Raw genomic sequence first — 20,409 nt, 5'->3', positions numbered from 1 at the left:
TCACGCCGTCATCTCCTCTCTAGCTGAGCGTCACAGACCAGTGAGAGTAGCTTCTCCCTGGGGGCCAGCTTCAAGGAAATGCCTGGAATTTCATTAGAGCTGAGGAACCCACAAAACATCCTTATAGCAGAGCTTCTTGTAATGAAAGAGGGAAGGACAAAGCCCAGTATTCTGACTGTGGAATGCACGTGAGGAAGACAGCAAAAAATGTCAGAAGGCAAGGACAATGGTCAACAATGCAAAGCAAAAGGCCCTATCTACTGACTCCGAAGGAGGAAAAACATCACAGAGATGCAGAAAAGCTGGTATCTGATTAAAAATTCCACAGAGTTGCCACGTTTGTAAAATAGGAATGCAATCTTCTCTTTTACACATATTTTGGGAATTTGATTGCCCAGATAAAATTAGAGAACAGAAGTCATCAATCCAAGCTTGAAGGAGTGGAGGTGCAGCGAAGGCAGACAGAACGCACAGGCAGAAATGGCAGCCTTGGTTTAAAGGCAACGAAATAAGCTAAGAAAATGCCTGTTAGTTGCTCAAAGAAGCTTCCTGAATGATGCGATTCCTGTACCAGAGAAGGGCATGAAGTGAGGGCTTCATTCATTCACCGAACAAACTCTTATGAAGAGTCAGAAGGCTTGGGAGGTTTGGGAGGAGCAGAAAACATCAAACCCCGAGATAAAGCCACTTGAGATGACACTGGAAGGAAAATCGGGAATTGGATGGGGAAGAAGAGAGGAGCCAGCATGCTGGGATATTGGTGGTGTGGTCAGGGACAGCAGATAAAGTGGCTGGGAAGGGCAGAGGGGTAAGGCTGGGAAGCAGTAGAGAAGCTTGAGACATAAGTTAAGGGTGCACGTGGAGGGTCTTGACTCCCAGGCCAGGAGCGTGGACTCTATCCATTAGACGCTAGGGGATGATGGGAAAATCTGTGTCAAGGAGCAGAAAAAATTACATTTACAAAGTGTTTTTCTTTTTTAAGAGTTTTTTTTTTAATGAGTTTTAATATGCCTCTGTCTGTCCGACTAAAAGAGTTTCCCCACCAGGTTTCTTTCCCCAAGCTCTCTAAGAAAGGCTGGGTCATTTCCCTGCTGACTCTTTGGGCTTTTGTGATGCAAAGACCAGGGAAGGGGGAAGGGTGGAGTGAGAAGTGTCTCAGAGTCCGGGGCTAGGGACTGGGGGAGTTTAGACAAGAAAGCACAGAAGAAGCCCCAGGAAGTGATGGGAGTAGGAGACAGACAAAGAGGGTGTTTGAGAAATGTTTCTATAGGCAAAGTATCTCCTGCATGGGACTAAAGAGACATAAAGGACGGGAGCAATTTTTGAAAATACAAGTGGATGCTAGACTGCGTTTCTTTGAACATCACATCAGCCTGAGACCAGCCCACATGAATCATGGCTTCAAAGGGGTGACAGGTTAATCTGGCAGCAGAACTTATGGAGGATGATCAGAAAGAGTAGAAGAAATATAGAGGTGAAGGGATCATTGGAATAGACTTGGACTTGGGGACTGAATCACTGCAGAGGGATAAAGAAGGAGGAAGAGTCCCAGGTTTCAGTGCAGAATAGTCACATAGGGGATGGGAGATGAGACTCAGCTTGGATGCCTTCACCTCTTTGTAGAGGTTGTCCAGAGCACCGTGTTGAAAAACATTACGAGGTCAATCTGGGAAAATGTTATGGCCAAATGGAGATCTTTGCCATGAGCTGCGGAGCTAGCTCTGCCTTTATTGACCCTGAACTTAGGGAATAACAGCATTGTTGACGGCATTGATGGCTTAAGGACATCAGCATGGAAGCTGGGTTTCTGGAAGAGAGAATGAACTTGGCTGAAACTGAAGCAATGCACACCGCTTTTGCTATTTGTTTTTGTTTTGTTTTTTTCTTTTTTTCCACCATCGATGCATTTTAAAGTTCCCAGATTTGTACTCCAGTACCAACAGGAATGAAGCATCGCAGTGTACCCCTGAAGCAGCCTCATCTGTTTACAGAAAACCTTGGGTGCCTTCTGAAGAGGAGGTTGTAGACTGACTCTCAGAAATGGCATATGACCAAATGGACAGCTGACATCTAAGTATTTATCCTGGACAGCTGTTCTCCCTGTGCTCTGCACTGAAATTTACCCTGAAGTTTTTCTAGGTGTAGACAAAGATTGGATGGTACGTTTTACGAAGTGTTACTCAATTGTGAGTATGAAGAGCAATCATTTAATTCTCAAAGTTGCTCAAACAACAAAGGCATCTCCACTCTGAACTGTGAGCTCCAACAGGGCTAGGACCTCTGCTATATCCCCAGGCCCCAGTAGAGTCTGTAGTACACTAGGCAACACCTGATTGCTAACTGCAGGAATGAATCAGTGTCTTTTTTTGTTTCCTCTTTCTTCTGCTCAAGGAGCCCCAAAGTTGTGCTTAACAGTATTTAAGTACATTGTTCTCAATAGAAGTCTACCTGGGCTGTGGGCCAGAACAAATTTTATTACTATTGTGGCAAATACATTTTCTAACTCAAATTAGCAAATATTTTTGAGCACCTACTGTGTTCATATCCTTATTGAACTATTCCACCTCTAGAAATGTATCCTACAGATGTACCTGCTCATATGCACTTGTGTAAAGGGTATGACTTGGTCCATTTTGTGCTGCAATGACTGAATATCACAGATTGGGTAATATATAATAAACAGATTATTATTATTATAGATTGAGTATTAATTAGTAATAATTGGGTAACAATAATAATTAATATTATAGATTGGGCAATCTATAATAAACAGATGACTGGTGCACAGTTCTGGGAACTGTGTATGGGGTGAGGGCCTTCTTGATCAGTCATAACATGGCAGAAGGGCAAAGAGAGGTGAGAGAGAGATGAACGGGGGTGAATCCACTCCCACAATAACAGTATTAATCCATTCATGAGGGCAGAGCCCTCATGGCCTAATCACCTCTTAGAGGTCCCACCTCTTAATACTGTTACAATGGTAATTAAATTTCAACATGAGTTTGGGAGGGGGCAAACATTCAAACAATAATAGGGCACATTGATTGTGATAGCAAAATTCAGAAACAACCCACATATCCATCAATAGGGGACTGGTTAGATAAATACAGTGCCCCTGTTATAAAGAATAAACCAGATTCTAGGCAAAGGGGTCCAAGTTTTCAGTTTTTCCAAGTCCCCATGCAGACACACAGAAACTAGGCAGCAAAACCCACAACCCAAGGAAAATATTTATGACAAAACTAGGTGACAAATTATTCCCACTAACCTAGCATATATAAATGGCCAACAGCCTCAAGAGTTGCATGGTATCTGGGTTTGAGGGGCTGAAAGAAGTTAGAAAGCAAGGGGGTGAGGCATGATAGACCTGAGAACAGAAGAACCCCAGATATACCAGTATTCACTAGAAAGTATTGTGGGCCAATTCGAGACGAGCAGGTGGAGCTGAAGAGTTGCCTCTCTAGTGCGAGGTAGTTCAGGTGCCCACAGTAAGAAGGCAGGAGGAGGCCAGGCACGGTGGCTCAAGCCTGTAATCCCAGCACTTTAGGAGGCCGAGGCGGGCGCATCACGAGGTCAGGAGATCGAGACCATCCTGGCTAACAGGGTGAAACCCTGTCTCTACTAAAAATACAAAAAAATTAGCCAGGTGTGGTGGCAGGTGCCTGTAGTCCCAGCTACTCGGGAGGCTGAGTCAGGAGAATGGGCGAACCTGGGAGGCGAACCTGGGAGGCGGAGCTTGCAGTGAGCCGAGATGGCGCCACTGCACTCCAGCCTGGGTAACAGAGCGAGACTCTGTCTCAAAAAATAATAATAATAAATAAATAATAATAATAATAATAATAATAATAAAGAAGGCAGGAGGAGGCAGGAGGAGGCAGGAGCAGTCGAGCCCCTAGGAATTCCCAAGACTGATCAGGAAGGGCTCCACACTCAGGAGAAAGCGCTGGGAGAGGAATCAAAATTGAGCAAGACAAGGATGAAAGAAAGGAAGGAGCAGTTTCCATCTGCATTGGGGGAAAGAAACAGCCAGCAAATCCCTGAAAGCAGGTGGCTCTATTTTTGAACACAGAAGTAGGAGCCCTGTGAAGTTTGAAAAGCATTCCTTAACATGGCCTTTGTGATGATTAGTACTGAGTGTCAACTTGATTGGATTGAAGGATGCAAAGTATTGATCCTGGGTGTGTCTGTGAGGTGTTGCCAAAGGAGATTAACATTTGAGTCAGTGGGCTTGGAGAGGTAGACCCACCCTTAATCTGGTGGGCACAATCTAATCAGCTGCCAGCAAATATAAAGCAGGCAGAAAAACGTGAAAAGGCAAGACTGGCCTAGTCTCCCAGCCTACATCTTTCTTCCATGCTGGATGCTTCCTGCCCTCAAACATCAGACTCCAAGTTCTTCAGTTTTGGGACTCGGACCGGCTCTCCTTGTTCCTCAGGCTTGCAGACGGCCTATTGTGGGACCTTGTGACCATATAATTTAATACTTAATAAACTCCCCTTTCTCTGTCTATCTATCTATATCTATCTATCTGTCTGTCTGTCTGTCTATCTATCTATCTATCTATCTATCTATCCCTCTATTCTATTAGTTCTGTCCCCCTAGGGAACCCTGACTTGTTCTAAAAGTTTAGGAAAACTTGATTTCACATGAAAAAACGAGCACTAGAAGAGTATCAAGTTCAATCCTATGCAAAGTAATTTTAAAAACTAGAGAGAATAAAGAATAGGGTAACACTGTAACTGACAAGTCATGGCAGAGAGACATAGTCATAAAACAGCAAGCTTCTGTTTGATCTATTTCAGAAAAAGACATTAAGTACATGATAGACATGGCAGAACAGCATCAATCAGAATTAGAGAAACTTGGAAATGAAGTGACAACTCAGGAAAAAAGTAGAACTAAAAATAATTATTCTGTAAGGTAGACTAATTATTATGAATCCATGGATTTAAATACATTTGATGGATGTCAATACCTGTGTTCCTGGAAGGAACACAAAAGTAAACAAATACAAGGGTAATGCCTCGAGAGACATAAAAGGTGAAATAAGACAAAAAAAAAAAAAAAGAAATGAAGAGAGAAGGATTTAAGAGAAAGTAGTGAACATTGAAGGCTATTGTACATATGAATAATAGGTTTTCCTCATGAAGAAAACCAAAGCAAGAGAACAGAGGAAGTACTAAGAGCTATAATCCAAGAAAACTTCCTTGAAATAAAAGATTTGATAATGTATATTGAAATGTGAATGCGGTGGCTCATGCCTGTAATCTCAGCACTTTGGGAGGCTGAGGTGAGCAGATCACTTGAGGCCAGGAATTCGAGAACAGCCTGGCCAACATGGTGAAATCTCATTTCTATAATAATACAAAAATTAGCTGGGTGTGGTGGCTTGCACCTGTAATCCCAGCTACTCAGGAAGCTGGGGCACTAGAATTGCTTGAACCCGGGAGGCAGAGGTTGCAGTTAGCTGAGGTTGTACCACTGTACTCACTCCAGCCTGGGTGACAGAGCAAGAACCTGTCTCAAAAAAGAAAGAAAGAAAGAAAGAAAAGGTTCAATGCACACTTGAGAATATCGGCCCAGGATGACTGCTGTCAAGATATATCCTACTGAAATTATTAGTACTTAAGAAAAAAAAAATCATTTGAACCTCTAGAGAAATTCTTTGGACATCTTGAAAAAGTCTTATGTGACTTATAAGGAAAAGAAAAATAGACTATTACCAGGATTTTTTGAGAAAAATGCTTTATACCAAAGGAGAATGGATTAGCATATTTAACATACTCAAGGAAAGACAGTATAAGCCAAAAATGTTATACCCAGAAAAACTGACCCTTAAGTGTAAAGGGCATAGCAAATTGCTACCAACATGCAATTTGGGAGGCTGAGGCGGGTGGATCACAAGGTCAGGAGATCAAGACCATCCTGGCTAACATGGTGAAACCCCGTCTCTACTAAAAATACAGAAAATTAGCCAGGTGTGGTGGCGCGCGCTTGTAGTCCCACCTACTCTGGAGGCTGAGGCAGGATAATCACTTGAACCCAGGAGGTGGAGGTTGCAGTGAGCCGAGATTGAGCCACTGCACTCCAGTCTGGGTGACAGAGTGAGACCCCATCTAAAAAAAAAAAAAAAGAAGGAAAAGAAAAGAAAAAGACAGACATGGGAAATTCGACTAGCCCAGATTTGTCAACGATAAGTTGTAAAGAAATGAAATGGATGGAGGAGGAACCATATAGATTAAAAGAGACTTAAAAGACCTAGCACACATTTTTTAGAATAGGTAGGACTAAAGTATAAGGTCTAGGGGAGCAAATTTGGGTGATAAAGCTATAAAAATAAAAATGAAAACAAGTCAGATTAATGTCACTTATGGTGGGAGGGAGAAGACAGGGATTAGGTAGGGAATATGGAGGTGCTTCTGGGGTGGCTGGCAAAGTTCTATTTCTTATCCTAGGTAGTATTTACCTTCAAATAATTCATTAAGCCATATATTTTATTTTGCAGTTTTCTGAATCCATATTTTATTTTTTTCTTTTGATATGGTGTCTCACTCTGTCACCCAAGCTGGAGTGCAATGGTGCTCTCGGCTCACTGCAACCTCTGCCTCCCAGGTTCAAGCAATTCTCCTACCTCAGCCTCCCGAGTAGCTGGGATTATAGGCACCCCCCCATCATGCCCAGCTAGTTTTTGTATTTTTGTAGAGACAGGGTTTCACCATGTTGGCCAGGCTGGTCTTGAACTCCTGACCTCAGGTGATCTGCCTGCCTTGGTCTCCCAAAGTGCTGGGATTACAGGCATGTGCTACCATGCCCTGCCCTGAATCCACATTTTATTTAAAATAAAATGACTTTTAAAAAATGAGTCAGATTTAGAGATACAGATGTGGATCAATTTCCAAAGTATATGGTTAAGTGAAATAAGACAAACTCAGAAGAGTGTGAATAGCATGCCACTGACATTTACACATAGAGGAGGTATTTGTGTATGCATAGACTGTCCTGGGAGGACACACAAGGAATTCAAAGCAAGTTCAGAGGGTGGGAGGCCAATTGACTTTCGATATATACCTTTGAACTTCCACTGGGCCTATGATTATCTCTCAAAAGAATAATCAATCAACTATATTTTAGAAAAAGTAATATTCTCAAAGAGCCTGACAATCTCTTTGCTCCAGTTTTACATTTGCCATTTGCCATACCACATTTTGGTCCATCATTTGTTCATTGGGGAGGATACACAGGCTGGTGGATGGGTGGGCCAGGAAACAGAGCAGCTTCAGCAGCATTTGAGCTTCACATAAACTGCAAAGCTTTGTCTCAGTTTAAACGTTATCTATCTGTACATTTCTAAGCTGAGAGTGTTTGAGGTTAGCCTGCCTTTGAATACTCCTATAAATACCACGGTTTGTGTCACCTGTGCATGTCACTGTGTGTAGACCCCAGAGCACCACCTGCAGGTGCCCACCTTTCTCACCTGCCCTTACTCGTGATGCCGGTAAGGGCTCTTCCACCCTTTGGGGGCCAAGTCACATCATCTTCACGGGACAGCACTACTGAGCTTGAGGCACTCAGTTCTCCTTCCTAATCAGCTTCCTTAGAGTGGACTTGATTTCATAGGGAATAAAAGATTTTCTTTTTTTCCTAGGGAAATAGCTCTCTGTTGAGATACTTTGCCAAGAGAAATAAAACAATATTTTGGTTAAGTTCCACGTTGAATTTCAAAATAAAATATTCAAAATCTGCTGAGCAGTTTACTCCTTTTCAATGTATTTTTGTTATTGCTAGATATTATAATTCCTTGGGTGAGATGTATAATGACTTCAGGGATTTATAATTACCTTGAAAGTAAATTGAGAATTACTTGGTATAATATGTTATGAATAAGATGGTATCTACGTAGAAATTAAACTGTCTTAACAGTTTATTTTATCACTTTCAAAAATTATTGTCATACAAATTCTTTTTTTCTGCTCATTTTCAGAGAATGAGCATTTTTAAGTTTTAAAAGACTCCATCAAATTACCATCACCGAAGATTGTACCAATTTCTATTCTCGACCACAATGTGGAATATGATCCACTGGATGTTATTTGGTCTAAAAAATTCTTGTGGCCATCTGATAGGCAGAAATGTCATTGCCACTTTAATTTGCATTGCCTTGGTTACTAAGTAGACTGATGATCTTTTTATTCATTATCGGTATTTCTTCGTTTTGTGAAATTCCCACTCACTTTCTTTATCCAGTTTTCTATCGAGTTTCCTCATGGACTCCTTTGCATATTAGGGATAGTGACCGTTTCCCTCGTCATAAATGTTGCAACTGTCTCCTTTCCCTCTTTTTTTCATCTAAATTCTTGGTGAGAAATCTACCATATAGATATATTTAATTCATATGTTGTCAAATGTGTCCTTCAAATTAAAATTGGAGTTTCAGGCCAGGCATGTTGGCTCATGCCTATAATCGGAGTACTTTGGGAGGCCAAGGCAGGCGGATCACCTGAGGTCACGAGTTCAAGACCAGCCTGGCCAACATAGTGAAACCCCATCTCTCCTAAAAATACGAAAGTTAGCCAGGCGTGGTGGTGCTTGCCTATAATCCCAGCTACTCGGGAGGCTGAGGCAGGAGAATCGCTTGAACCCGGGCGGCGGAGGTTGCAGTGAGCCAAGATCATGCCATTGCACTCTGGCCTGGATGACAGAGCGAGGCTCTGTCTCAAATAAATAAATAAATTAATTAATTAAATAAAATGAAATTGGAGTTTCACACCATTTTTTGGAGGGGCTTTGCTGTCTGCTTCTCAGTGCTTCCCAGGGTTCTCTCTTGCCCCCGAAGAGCACTCACTGACACCCAGGCCCTGTGGGAGAGCCCCCTTGCTCAGGAGTCATCTTTGCAGGTTCTTTTCTGTTTCTATCACCTCGTCTGGTGGACCTCACACTTGAGCAAGAGGCAGACTCCTCCAGAGGGCTTGAGAAAACCCCAACTGTTCAGAAATCTCAGAGCTTCTGATTCAGGAAGTCTACAGTGGGCCTGAGAATTCGTGTTCTAACAAGTTCCCTGCAGATGCTGCTGATGCTGCTGTTCTGGGACCACACATGGACCACCTGCCTCAAACACTGGTTTGACATCTTGACCTCTCTGGAAGCTATGCCTTTGTTCCCATCTCCCTTGCTTCCACCCAGGGCCAGGTCACATCACATCTCTTCTGGCATCCTTTCACAGCTTCTTCCCCCACATCCTTTGTGACTCTTCTGCCATCCACTCACCACACTGCAGCCAGAGGGATTTCAACAGGGGCTCATGGCACTCCCTTCCAGCTCTTCCCCTTTCGTCATTGGGCCATCTCGTGATTCTCTTCACATCTTTCTGCCCTCTGTGCTCTCCTGCATATGGGCTTTTGGTAGCTACGAAATGCCAGGTTCTTTCTTGCCCCAGGGTCTTTGCACATGCACGTTCTCTTGGCCTGGAAAACCTTCCTTTGCAGTGATATTGGTCATTTTAGTGAGATCACTTTGGCTGTTAGGCTGGTGTGTGGATCAGATCACTTAGCTCTGAATGAATGCAGCTGACAGCCAGCATTCTCTGTCAGAATGGCTTTGTGTTTTGGCTCATTAAGGAGCTCCCAGGAACACTGAAAGAGGGAATATATCTCTAATAAAAATACAAAAATTAGCCGGGCATGTTGGTGCATGCCTGTAATCCCAGCTACTCAGGAGGCTGAGGCATGAGAATTGCATGAATCCAGGAGGTGGAGGTTGCAATGAGCTGAGATCGCGCCACTGCACTCCAGACTGGGCAACAAAGCAAGACTCCATCTCAAAAAATAATAAAATAATATAAATAATAAAATAATAAACTAAAACAGTTTTTTCATCTTGAATATGACTAAGACACAATAGTTGTTAGAATTCTGATTATATCCTTACCATAGGTAGAGATTTTGCTTAAAATACATTTTTTTAAAAGAGAGAGTGTCTGAAAAATCATACTCAATTAGTTCCAGACCCAGACCAAGAATTGAAGTCTCTTGACTTTCAATACTGTGTTACATCTACACAGTTCTTTCTCTGGTGAAGAAAATAAAATTCAGTAAATATTTATCGAGTATTTTTTCATACACAAGGTACTGTAGTAGGTGCTTGGGGTGAGCATGGGGAATATGTGCAGATGACTTCTTGAGTCATGGGTCCTGCCCTCATGGGGCTTACACTGGACTTGTGAAGACAGAATACAAATACAGGCAGGCTTTGCTTCTCGTGGTTCTGATTAAGCATGAAACGAACTCATTTACCATGGTTTCATTAAATAACTCAGTCTTCCAACAACACGGTTCAAATTACAGTTACCATGGCATATTAACTGTGAGTCATTGCATGGAGCACAAATGGGGCTGCTAGCTCTTCAGTCCACAAATCACTATGTAAGTAACAGATGCGCACCACAGTCAGTTACCAATCATGACCTTTATTCCAACACCTGCAGTGCTTGGTGACCAATCGCAGCAAGTTCTTTCAAAATCTGCAGTGATTGGTCATTGTGCATATGTCATTCAATTGCACTGCCAGCAAAGTGTGTAGTTGTGCTGCCTCGGTGATTCTCAGTGATAAACCCAGGTGGCATTTTATAAAAACAGATAATTAGAAGGTCAAATTGGCCAACAAAGATGAAAGTACACAAAAGAAACAAAAAGTGTTAAAGATGGAAGTGAAATTTGAATGGGATGTAAATGGAGTTATAGAAGAAATAGCTGACCATGTGGAGTTATGGAAGACATAGCTGATCATGTGAATGTTGACCCTGCCACCTTCGGAGAAACTCTAGATATACAGCCAGAAGGACTTATTGACAATAAACTTACAGACATAAATGAGGGAAAAGGTCATGACAAAAAGAATGAAGAAGATACCCCAGAGGAAGTAACTCTAGAAAAAAAAAAAAAAGGTGGTGGTGGGGAAACACTTTAAGTTAATGGAACTCTCAGATATATTTTATGACATTGAAAGCACAAAGGGGAAAATGTTGGAAGTGATGCAAACTTAGAAAGGAGTATGCCAATTCACCAAGGCATAATCAAATATCAGTTTTACTGTTCCTTTTCATTTTCCTATTGTTTATAACTGCCAGTAAGAGAGATTTTAATGTTTTTACAAGCATTAGAACGTATCATTGAAAAATCAGGCCGGGCGCGGTGGCTCACGCCTGTAATCCCAGCACTTTGGGAGGCCGAGGCAGGCGGATCACGAGGTCAGGAGATCGAGACCATCCTGGCTAACACGGTGAAACCCCGTCTCTACTGAAAATACAAAAAATTAGCCGGGCGTGGTGGCGGGCACCTGTAATCCCAGCTACTTGGGAGGCTGAGGCAGGAGAATGGCGTGAACCCGGGAGGCGGAGCTTGCAGTGAGCAGAGATCGCGCCACTGCACTCCAGCCTGGGCAAAAGAGCGAGACTCTGTCTCAAAAAAAAAAAAAGAAAGAAAAATCATATTTTCCCCATTGATTATTAATATTTCTTTGCGTGGTTTCAGATTGCATGGTGATTTTTACAGTTCCACAGTACCATGCAAAGTGAATACTACCTGTATATGAATAATTAAGTCATAAGCTGGGTGTGGTGGCTCATGCCTGTAGTCTCAGCTACTTGAAAGGCTGAGGTGGGAGGATCACTTGAGGCCAGGAGTTTGAGACTGGCCCCGGCAATATAGCAAGACCCTGTCCCTACAAAAGAATCAAATAAATTATAGGTCATACAATAAGACATCATGATATGATAGAACAGGTTTCAAAGCAACATGTGACTCATTGCCAGTTAATTTTTATAGATAGTAATTTCCCTAAGAGGTCAAGGGAGAGAGAGATCATCATCATCACATCTATGATGATGAGATGACGATGATGATGATTGATGATGATGATGATGATGATGATGATGATGGTGGGAGAGAACTGGGATGGGCTTTGGAGTTTCCAATTTGGATAGACCCAGTGAAAGAAAAGTGGCATTCTAGGAAAGTGGGCAGATGCCCCTAGCAGCCCATATAATATTGAGCAGATGCTCATAGCAGCCCATATAATATTATTGCCATGAATGATGTCAGTAAGGCAGACTACTTGACTCTGGAATTTCCAGCATCTTTTTTTTTTGACAAATTGTTTTATATCAAAGTGTGTGCCTAAAAAGTGTTTCTCAAGCCATGCATGCTCAGATTACAAAGACTGTGGAATGAAGCACAGAAAATTTGGCTCAACAAACTGAATTGTGCCATGGGCACCTTCTGTCACCAGCCGTATAGAGGCTACCCTCACCTTTACTCTGAGTGAAACATCGCCTCTCAGGTGTTAAGAAGCCTTCCGTAAGTTATCTCCAGCAATAATATTAATCACTTATTTTATGGCTTTACAGTTTATTTGTGGTTTTAATAAAAAAAACATAGAGACAGCTAGGAAGGTAGGGAGCTGAGGCACCTGGAGAGCTGGTGCTTTGCCTAAAGGGCAGGGCTGCTGCTCGGCTCTTGGAAATGTAGGGACTGTATTGTGAGATCCATTAAAGTTTTTAAAGGAAGCCATAAATCTTGGCTTAATATGAAGTTTTTGAACTTGAAAAAGTTGACTCAAACTTTTAAAACATATATCATCTTGCAGGGTAAATGGCCTGCCCCTGTGCCTGATCTGGCTGCCAGTTTGTAACTGCTTTGTAAGACAATGGTGCTGTCTTACACACAGTGTTCATCTAATTTGGACAAAGTAGGGATTATAATGCGATTGTTATGACCAGTTTCCACATGAGGAAATAGGCTTATGGAGCTTAAGTAACTTGTCCAAGGAAGCACTGGTGTTAGGTAGTGGACCCAGGAACCTGATGCCTAACTTGATCCTTTTTCTCCTCTATATCAGCTTCTTAAAGTTTGCTCTATCAACTGTGAGAATCAAATGAAAACCTCAACCACCAGCCCTCAGAAGGTCCTGGACCAAGGGAGTTCTAGGGAACTGGGAAGCAGAACCTCATGGTCTGTCTCTTTAGAGCATCACCATTGTGATCAATTTGAATCTATCTCCATCCTTATTAGTCTAAATGAATAGATGGTCAATACAGCCTTCAAGTAATCCTGCATCATTATTATTTCTCTTACTTAAGCTTTCTGTGCATGCTCAGCAGCAATACATTTGAACCTATCTTCCCTGACATGTCCTGTGATGCACGTTGCCTATTAAGTTCATAGTCACATGATTTAACATCCAGTAGAGCTGAGAATATGGTTTAAAAATCCTCTTAAAAATGATGGACTTGCTATCAACATGTTCTAAAAGGATGAACATTCCCTGCATGGAGATGGGATGAGGAAGTACCCTTGGACTGGGTCAAGATTTTAGGTCACTTTGGCCAGGCGCCGTGGCTCATGCCTGTAATCCCAGCACTTTGGGAGGCCGAGGCGGGCGGATCACGAGGTCAGGAGACCGAGACCATCCTGGCTAACACGGTGAAACCCCGTCTCTACTAAAAATACAAAAAATTAGCTGGGCGCGGTGGCGGGCGCCTGTAGTCCCAGCTACTCCGGAGGCTGAGGCAGGAGAACAGCGTGAACCTGAGAGGTGAAGCTTGCAGTGAGCCAAGATCACGCCACTGCACTCCAGCCTGGGCGACAAAGCGAGACTCCGTCTCAAAAAAAGAAAAAAAGAAAGAAAGAAAAAAAAGATTTTAGGTCACTTCAACAATGGATGAATGGAAGCCTCAAAATTTGTTACCATACATTTAGTAGTTTTAGTTTGAAAATTTTAAAACAGATATAATCTTAGTGATAAAATATCTTACCAGTGCAATGATAAAATATCTCATCAGTGCAATGATGAAATAGCTTTAAACCATGTCATGACCTGATGAACACCTCAAGCAAAACTAGCTGCAAAATGTTCTCTTAAATAACTGACTAAATAAAATTTCTGAATCAATATTATTATTACTGTTAAGCCAGTTAAATAATGGGCATTGGCCCAAAATGATGATTTTAGAATACTTAATCTGTAGTTAAACATAATTTGTTACTAGAGAATTGCAAATCACCACAATAATGACATACCCCCACACATCTACTAGAATGGCGGACATCCAAAAACCAACAATACCAACTGCTGGAGGGGATGTGGAGCAACAGGAATGTTCATTTATTGGTGGGAATGCAAAAATGGTACAGCCACTTTGGAAGAGAATTTGCGCTTTCTTACAAAACTAAACCTAGTCTTTTTCTTTTTTTTTTGAGACAGGGGTCTCACTCTGTTGCCCCGGCTAGAGTGCGTGGTGTGATCTTACCTCACTGCAACCTCTGCCTCCCAGGCTCAAGAGATCCCCCATCCTCAGCCTCCTTAGTATCTGGGACTACACGGTGCATGCCATGAGGCCTGGCTAATCTTTGTATATTTTGGAAACACAGGGTTTCATCATGTTGCCCAGGCTGGTCTTGAACTCCTGGGCTCAAGCAATCCACACTCCTCGGCCTCCCAAAATGCTGGGATTACAGACATGAGCCACTGTGCCCAGCCTAAACATAGTCTTACTATCAGAGTCAACAATCACACTCAGGTGATTTGAAACTGAACTGATTTGGAAGCGTATGTCCCTACATAAACCAGCATGCCAATGTTTATAGCAGCTCTATTCATAATGGTCCAAAATTAGAAGCAACCAATATATCCTTCAATAGGTGAATGGATGAACAAACTATGGTACATTCACACAATAGAATATTATTCAGCAACTAGAACTGAGCTATCAAGCCCAACAAAGTTATGGATGAATCTTTTTTTTTTTTTTGAGACAGAGTTTCGCTCTTGTTGCCCAGGCTAGAGTGCAATGGCGCAATCTCGGCTCACAGCAACCTCCGCCTCCCGGGTTCAAGCGATTCTCCTGCCTCAGCCTCCTGAGTAGCTGGGATTACAGGCGTTCACTACCAGGCCTGGCTAATTTTGTATTTTTAGTAGAGATGGGGTTTCTCCATGTTGGCCAGGCTGGTCTCGAACTCCTGACCTCAGCTGATCCACCTGCCTCAGCCTCCCAAAGTGCTGGGATTACAGGCATGAGCCACCGCGCCTGACTCTAGTTATGGATGAATCTTAAATGCATATTGCTAAATGAAATAAACTAGTCTGAAAAAGCAATATACTGTATGAGTCCAACTATATGACATTCTGGAAAAAGCAAGCGACAGAGACAATAAACAGATCAGTGTTTGCCAAGAGGTTAGAAGTTGGGGGGATGATTGAATAGGTGAAGCACAGGGATTTTTTTTTTTTTTTGTATGAGTGATACTATAATGGCATATACAAGGATTTGGCAAAACCCTATGGGGGATTTCTATGAACTTTACAGTGCAGAGAGCAAACCCTAATCAGGTAAATTTAAAAAAAATTAGGAGCCGAGTGCGGTGGCTCACATCTGTAATCCCAGCACTTTGGGAGGCTGAGATGAGAGGATCATTTGAGTTCAGGAGTTCAAGACCAGCCTAGTTAGCATGGCGAAAGCCTGTCTCTACTAAAAAATACAAAAATTAGCTGGGCATGGCAGCGGGCGCCTGTAATCCCAGCTACTCGGGAAGCTGAGGCAGGGAGAATGGCTTGAACCCAGGAAACAGAGGTTGCAGTGAGCTGAGATCATACCACTGCACTCCAGCCTGAATAACAGAGCAAGAATCTGTCTAAAAAAAAATAAAAAAATAAAAATAATTAGGATGTTGGGGAACCCAGAATGAGAGGCAGAATGCGACAAAAGGATCTAAATGTACCACAAATGTATGGAACAATGTTGTTGAAGGAGATGAGGAATAAAGTGCTGGCTTAGGTATCTTTGGAAATGAATGACTAAAGGCACAGGAACTCTACATACACACTCTATTCTAGCTGATAAAGTTGTGCCCCCTAGGGATATGAGCTAACAATTCTGAAACCACCGTACACGTATACTGGGATTAAAGAATTAACTAAAGTAAGCAAATAATGGAAGCTAGGCTCCTCACTGCAGGCATGGGAGATTCCAGATAAAGAGAGGAGTCTGGAAGGATCTATGTGGTAATGGATTAGAGGTGAAGCATTCAGTAGGAACTCATGCTTCTCAATATAGATGCAGATGGTTACACACAGCATTATATATATGCAGAGGTATATCTATAAATGGTTACATATAGAATTATAGATACAGACAGTTACATTAAAAGTAACAGCAAAACCGCAATTACTTTTGCACAAACCTAATATATTTTGCTCTTCTGCCAACTGAGCAGGCCTACAAGCAATGAAGCAATGACTCCCCAGTAGCAATGAGCATACCTACTGCTCAGAGCTTGGTTTCTAATACCATTTTCAGTGGAAGGAACCAGGGCTTTTTTGAGAAAGGCTGAACCTAGGACTCAGGTTGGAAATATACAGGATAAGCCGGGAGCATCTTTTAGTGCCAGAAAATAACGAAGTGCTCACAAAATAAATTCCCATAAAGAAAGGGTTATGTTAAAGGGACACATAGGCCAACTGAAAGAGCCCCCAAAGTCCAAAGCTAGAACAATTTGAACACCAAAAAAAGGAGGCTATAACCCAAAACATAAATATCCATGAGACCATATTTATATAAATAAATATATGTCCAAAATGTCCTTCAGTAGGTGAATGAAGGATAGATTAATTTATATAAATAAACAGTCCAGTAAATAAGTAAAGACACAGTGAAGAAGAGACAAACCCGAGCAGAAGAACTTCAATCTGTGTAGCTGCTCTTAAGAAGGTGAAGCATAGATAAGACTTTAGATAAGGAATGCCTGAGAAGCTGACACACCACGAGGAGCTGTAGGAGACGCGACAACTAATTATACTGTGGACGTGTGTTCTGGATGGGATCCCAAAAAGAACATTAGGGAGAAAAACAGGAATTCTGGACAAAGTATGGACTCCAGTGAATAATAATGTGTCAGTATTGTTTCATTGATTGTGACAAATCTACCAGATTAAGGTAAGATGTTAATAATAATAGGGGAAAATGGGTATGGAACATTTGGGAGCTCTATGCTACTTCAGTAATTATTCTGTAATTCTATAGCTACCCTAAAACACAAAAGCTTATTTTATTTTATTTTATTTTATTTTTGAGACGGAGTTTCACTCTGCCGCCCAGGCTGGAGCGTAGTGGCGCGAACTCAGCTCACTGCAACCTCCGCCTCCCAGGTTCAAGAGATTCTCCTGCCTCAGTTCCCTCCCCGCTGGGTTTACAGGTGTGTGCCATCACACCTGGCTAATTTTAAATTTTTTTTTTTTTTTTTTTTTTTTTTTTTTGAGACGGAGTCTGACTCTGTCGCCCAGTCTGGAGTGCAGTGGCGTGATCTCGGCTCACTCCAAGCTCCGCCTCCTGGGTTCACGCCATTCTCCTGCCTCAGCCTCCCCAGTAGCTGGGGCTACACGTGCCTGCCACCACGCCCGGCTAATGATTTTTGTATTTTTAGTAGAGACGGGGTTTCACCGTGTTAGCCAGGATGATCTCGATCTCCTGACCTCGTGATCCGCCCGCCTCGGCCTCCCAAAGTGACTAATTTTTAAATTTTTAGTAGAGAGGGGGCTTCACCTCATTGGTCATGCTTGTCTCGAATTCCTGACCTCAAGTGATTTGCCCACCTTGGCCTCCCAAAGTGCTGGGATTACAGGCGTGAGCTACTGTGCCCAGCCCCCACAAAAGTTTATTTTTTAAAAAGCAAATCAGATTGCATTATCCTCTGCTTAAAGCCCTTTCAGTCATTCACTCATTCAAAAAATTCATGAGTGACTCCTATGTTCTGGCCACCGTGTACATTGCTGAGGATTTAATCATGAGCAACGAAAACATCGATTCTTATAGTTTAATAGGGGAGATTAGATCTATTGCACCTCTGGAGAAGAGGTTCAAGGAGCTGGCAGAGCCTGTACAGGGACCTGACCAGGTTAGGAGCACAGGGGAGGCTGCTCCCAGGTGAGAGTTGGGAGGCATGTCGGGGAGGAAGCTCCTACACGCTAGGAAACTTGTAAAAGCCAAGGTGGTTACTGAAGAACAGCGGGAGGTGAGGCTGCCAGGATTGGCAGGGCCCATTAGGGGAACTAATAGACCTTATTCAGGATCCTGGCTTGTCCCAAGAGTGATGAGAACCACAACTTATCCTCCCTATCTGTTTCAGTCATATGAGTCTAGAGATACAGCCTGTTGCGCTCATAGCTGCATCCTCACCACCTAGCAGAAGGTCAGGAAGAAATTTTTATTTCCTTTTTTTTTAAACCTTTTTGGAAAACGATTATAGATTCACTAGAAGTTGCAAAAAAAATGTGCAGGAAGGTCCTCTGTACCCTTCATCCAGTTTCCCCCACCATAACATCTTGTATAACTATAGTACAATATCAAAACTGAGACATTAACATTGATACAATCCATAGAGCTTATTGAGATTTCAGCAGTTTCATAGTACTTACTTGTGTGTATATAGTTCTATGCAATTCTGCCACATTTGCAGATTTATGTAACCACCACAATCAAGATACTGTTACATCACTGCAAGCCACACTCACCACACCCTTCCATAACAGCCATTATTATGATTCCCTGGCAACCATCAGTCTGTGCCCCTTCTATATACATTATATTGATAATTGACATGCACAGAGTGACCTGACGCAATGTGAAAAGCATTCTCTGTTTTTGATGCATAAAGTAGATTGGAGGAGGCAAGGACAAATATAAGAATATCAGCCAAGGGAAGAAATGATAGTCAAAGGGTGAACATTGCTGAGTGAGCAAGCTGGAAGCCATGGACAGGGCATGGGCTGTTTGTGGATTTGCTATTTTGGAGGAGAACAGCTTCTGGTGAAGACAAAATCCTAGGTATGCCTATGGGAGGGGGCAGCTGAGATGGAGTGGACTGGGACATACAGAGGAGGAGTCAAGAGGCTGTCACTGGTGGGGGAGTTGTCACGGGGATGTTGAAGTTACTCAGGGTGATGCAGGCTTGAGTGGAGAAGCTATCAGGAATGAATGAGGGCATACCAGCCACAAAGAGCAGAGAATAGAAGAGTGGATTTTGCCCTGACATTAGCTTGTTAACTGGCACAGGAGGTGAGCCAAGTGACACAGTGGGAGAGTACGTTATAGCTAAACGGCAGGCTGTAACTATACATATAGTTATATGACATAGTTGTAGAAACATAGACACAAGGAACAAACGGAAGGAAAGTTCTAGAGCAGTGCTAGTAAGTAACAGATCTGGACTGCAGAGAGATTTGCTATGGTTCAAATGTGTCCCTCTGTCTTAGTCTATTTGTGTTGCTGTAATGAATATCTGAGGCTGGGGAATTTCTAAAGAAAAGAGGTTTATTATTCGGCTCATGGTTCTGCAGGCTGTTACAAGAAGCATGGTGCCAGCATCTGCTTCTGGTAAGGGCCTCAGGGAGCTTCCACTCATGGTGTAAGGTGAAGGGGAGCTGCTGTGTGCAGAGATTGCAGAGATCACATAACAAGAGAGGAAGCAAGAGAGAAGGGAGATGCCCATTCTTTTGAACATCCAGCTTTTGCAGCAACAAAGTAGAGTGAGAATTCACTCACTTCTTCCCCACCCCCACCAGGGACAGCATTAATCTATTCATGAGGGATCCATCCTCACAACCCAAACACCTCCCGTGAGAACCCAGCTTCAACACTGAGGATCAAATTTCAATGTGAGGTTTGAAGAGGTGAAACATCCAAACTATAGCACCCCCAAGAAGCATGTGTTGTAAACAGAATCCCCAGTGCAACAGTGTTAACAGGTGGGAACTTTAAGAGGGAATTAGGCCCTGAGGGCTCCGCCCCCCGCAAATGGATTAACTTTATCATGGGAGTGAGCTTGAATTTGGCCTTCTTGCTTTCTCTCACTCTCTCATCATCCACCATAGGATGACATGGTAAGAAGGCCCTCATCAGATGTCAGCCCCTCAGTCTTGGACTTCCCAGCTTCCAGAGCCATGAGCCAATACGTTTCTTTATAAGTTATTCAGTTTCAGGTATTCTGTTATAGCAACACAAAACAAAGACAGGCCCCTTGTCTCCTTCCCTGAACCTAGACCTATAGGAATTTCATGAGCATGACTTGCCTGATTTTGGCACAGATGAGAGATGGGTTGGAAAGATCAGACCTGGCTTGAGGAAGCCCTTGCCATGCCTGGGTGCCAGCAGAACCAGGGGGCAGAGAGAGCAAGGATGGTGTATCCATCTGTGAAGGCAGCCGTAACAAAGTACCCCAAACTGGGTGGTTTAACAACAGAAATTTGTCACTTCACAGTTGTGGAAGCTAGAAGTCCAAGATCAAGGTGTCAGGAGGGCCACGCTTTCTCTGAAATTTGTTGGGGAGAATCCTTCCTTCCTCTTCTAGTTTCTGTGTTTGCCAG

At 42.7% G+C, this 20,409-nt stretch overlaps 1 protein-coding gene across 3 annotated transcripts in view, besides 2 other annotated features; it reads left to right on the top strand.

The window, feature by feature from the left end:
• The window catches only part of ENTREP2 (endosomal transmembrane epsin interactor 2), a 557,698-nt gene that overhangs the window by 63,038 nt on the left and 474,251 nt on the right, over nt 1-20,409 (top strand). The gene's annotated exons all lie outside the window — the stretch shown is intronic.
• Nucleotides 169-859: an enhancer, noted in NCBI's record as "OCT4-H3K27ac hESC enhancer chr15:29903717-29904407 (GRCh37/hg19 assembly coordinates)". NCBI's record gives its function as "activates a minimal SCP1, AML or CMV promoter by ChIP-STARR-seq in naive H9 embryonic stem cells {active_cell/tissue: H9 hESC(naive)}" and the evidence as "EXISTENCE:reporter gene assay evidence [ECO:0000049][PMID:30033119]".
• Nucleotides 860-1,550: an enhancer, noted in NCBI's record as "OCT4-H3K27ac hESC enhancer chr15:29903026-29903716 (GRCh37/hg19 assembly coordinates)". NCBI's record gives its function as "activates a minimal SCP1, AML or CMV promoter by ChIP-STARR-seq in naive H9 embryonic stem cells {active_cell/tissue: H9 hESC(naive)}" and the evidence as "EXISTENCE:reporter gene assay evidence [ECO:0000049][PMID:30033119]".

Source organism: Homo sapiens, chromosome 15 (assembly GCF_000001405.40).
Source record: "Homo sapiens chromosome 15, GRCh38.p14 Primary Assembly".
Taxonomy (NCBI): domain Eukaryota; kingdom Metazoa; phylum Chordata; class Mammalia; order Primates; family Hominidae; genus Homo; species Homo sapiens.
This window is presented reverse-complemented; position numbering and strand designations above follow the sequence as displayed.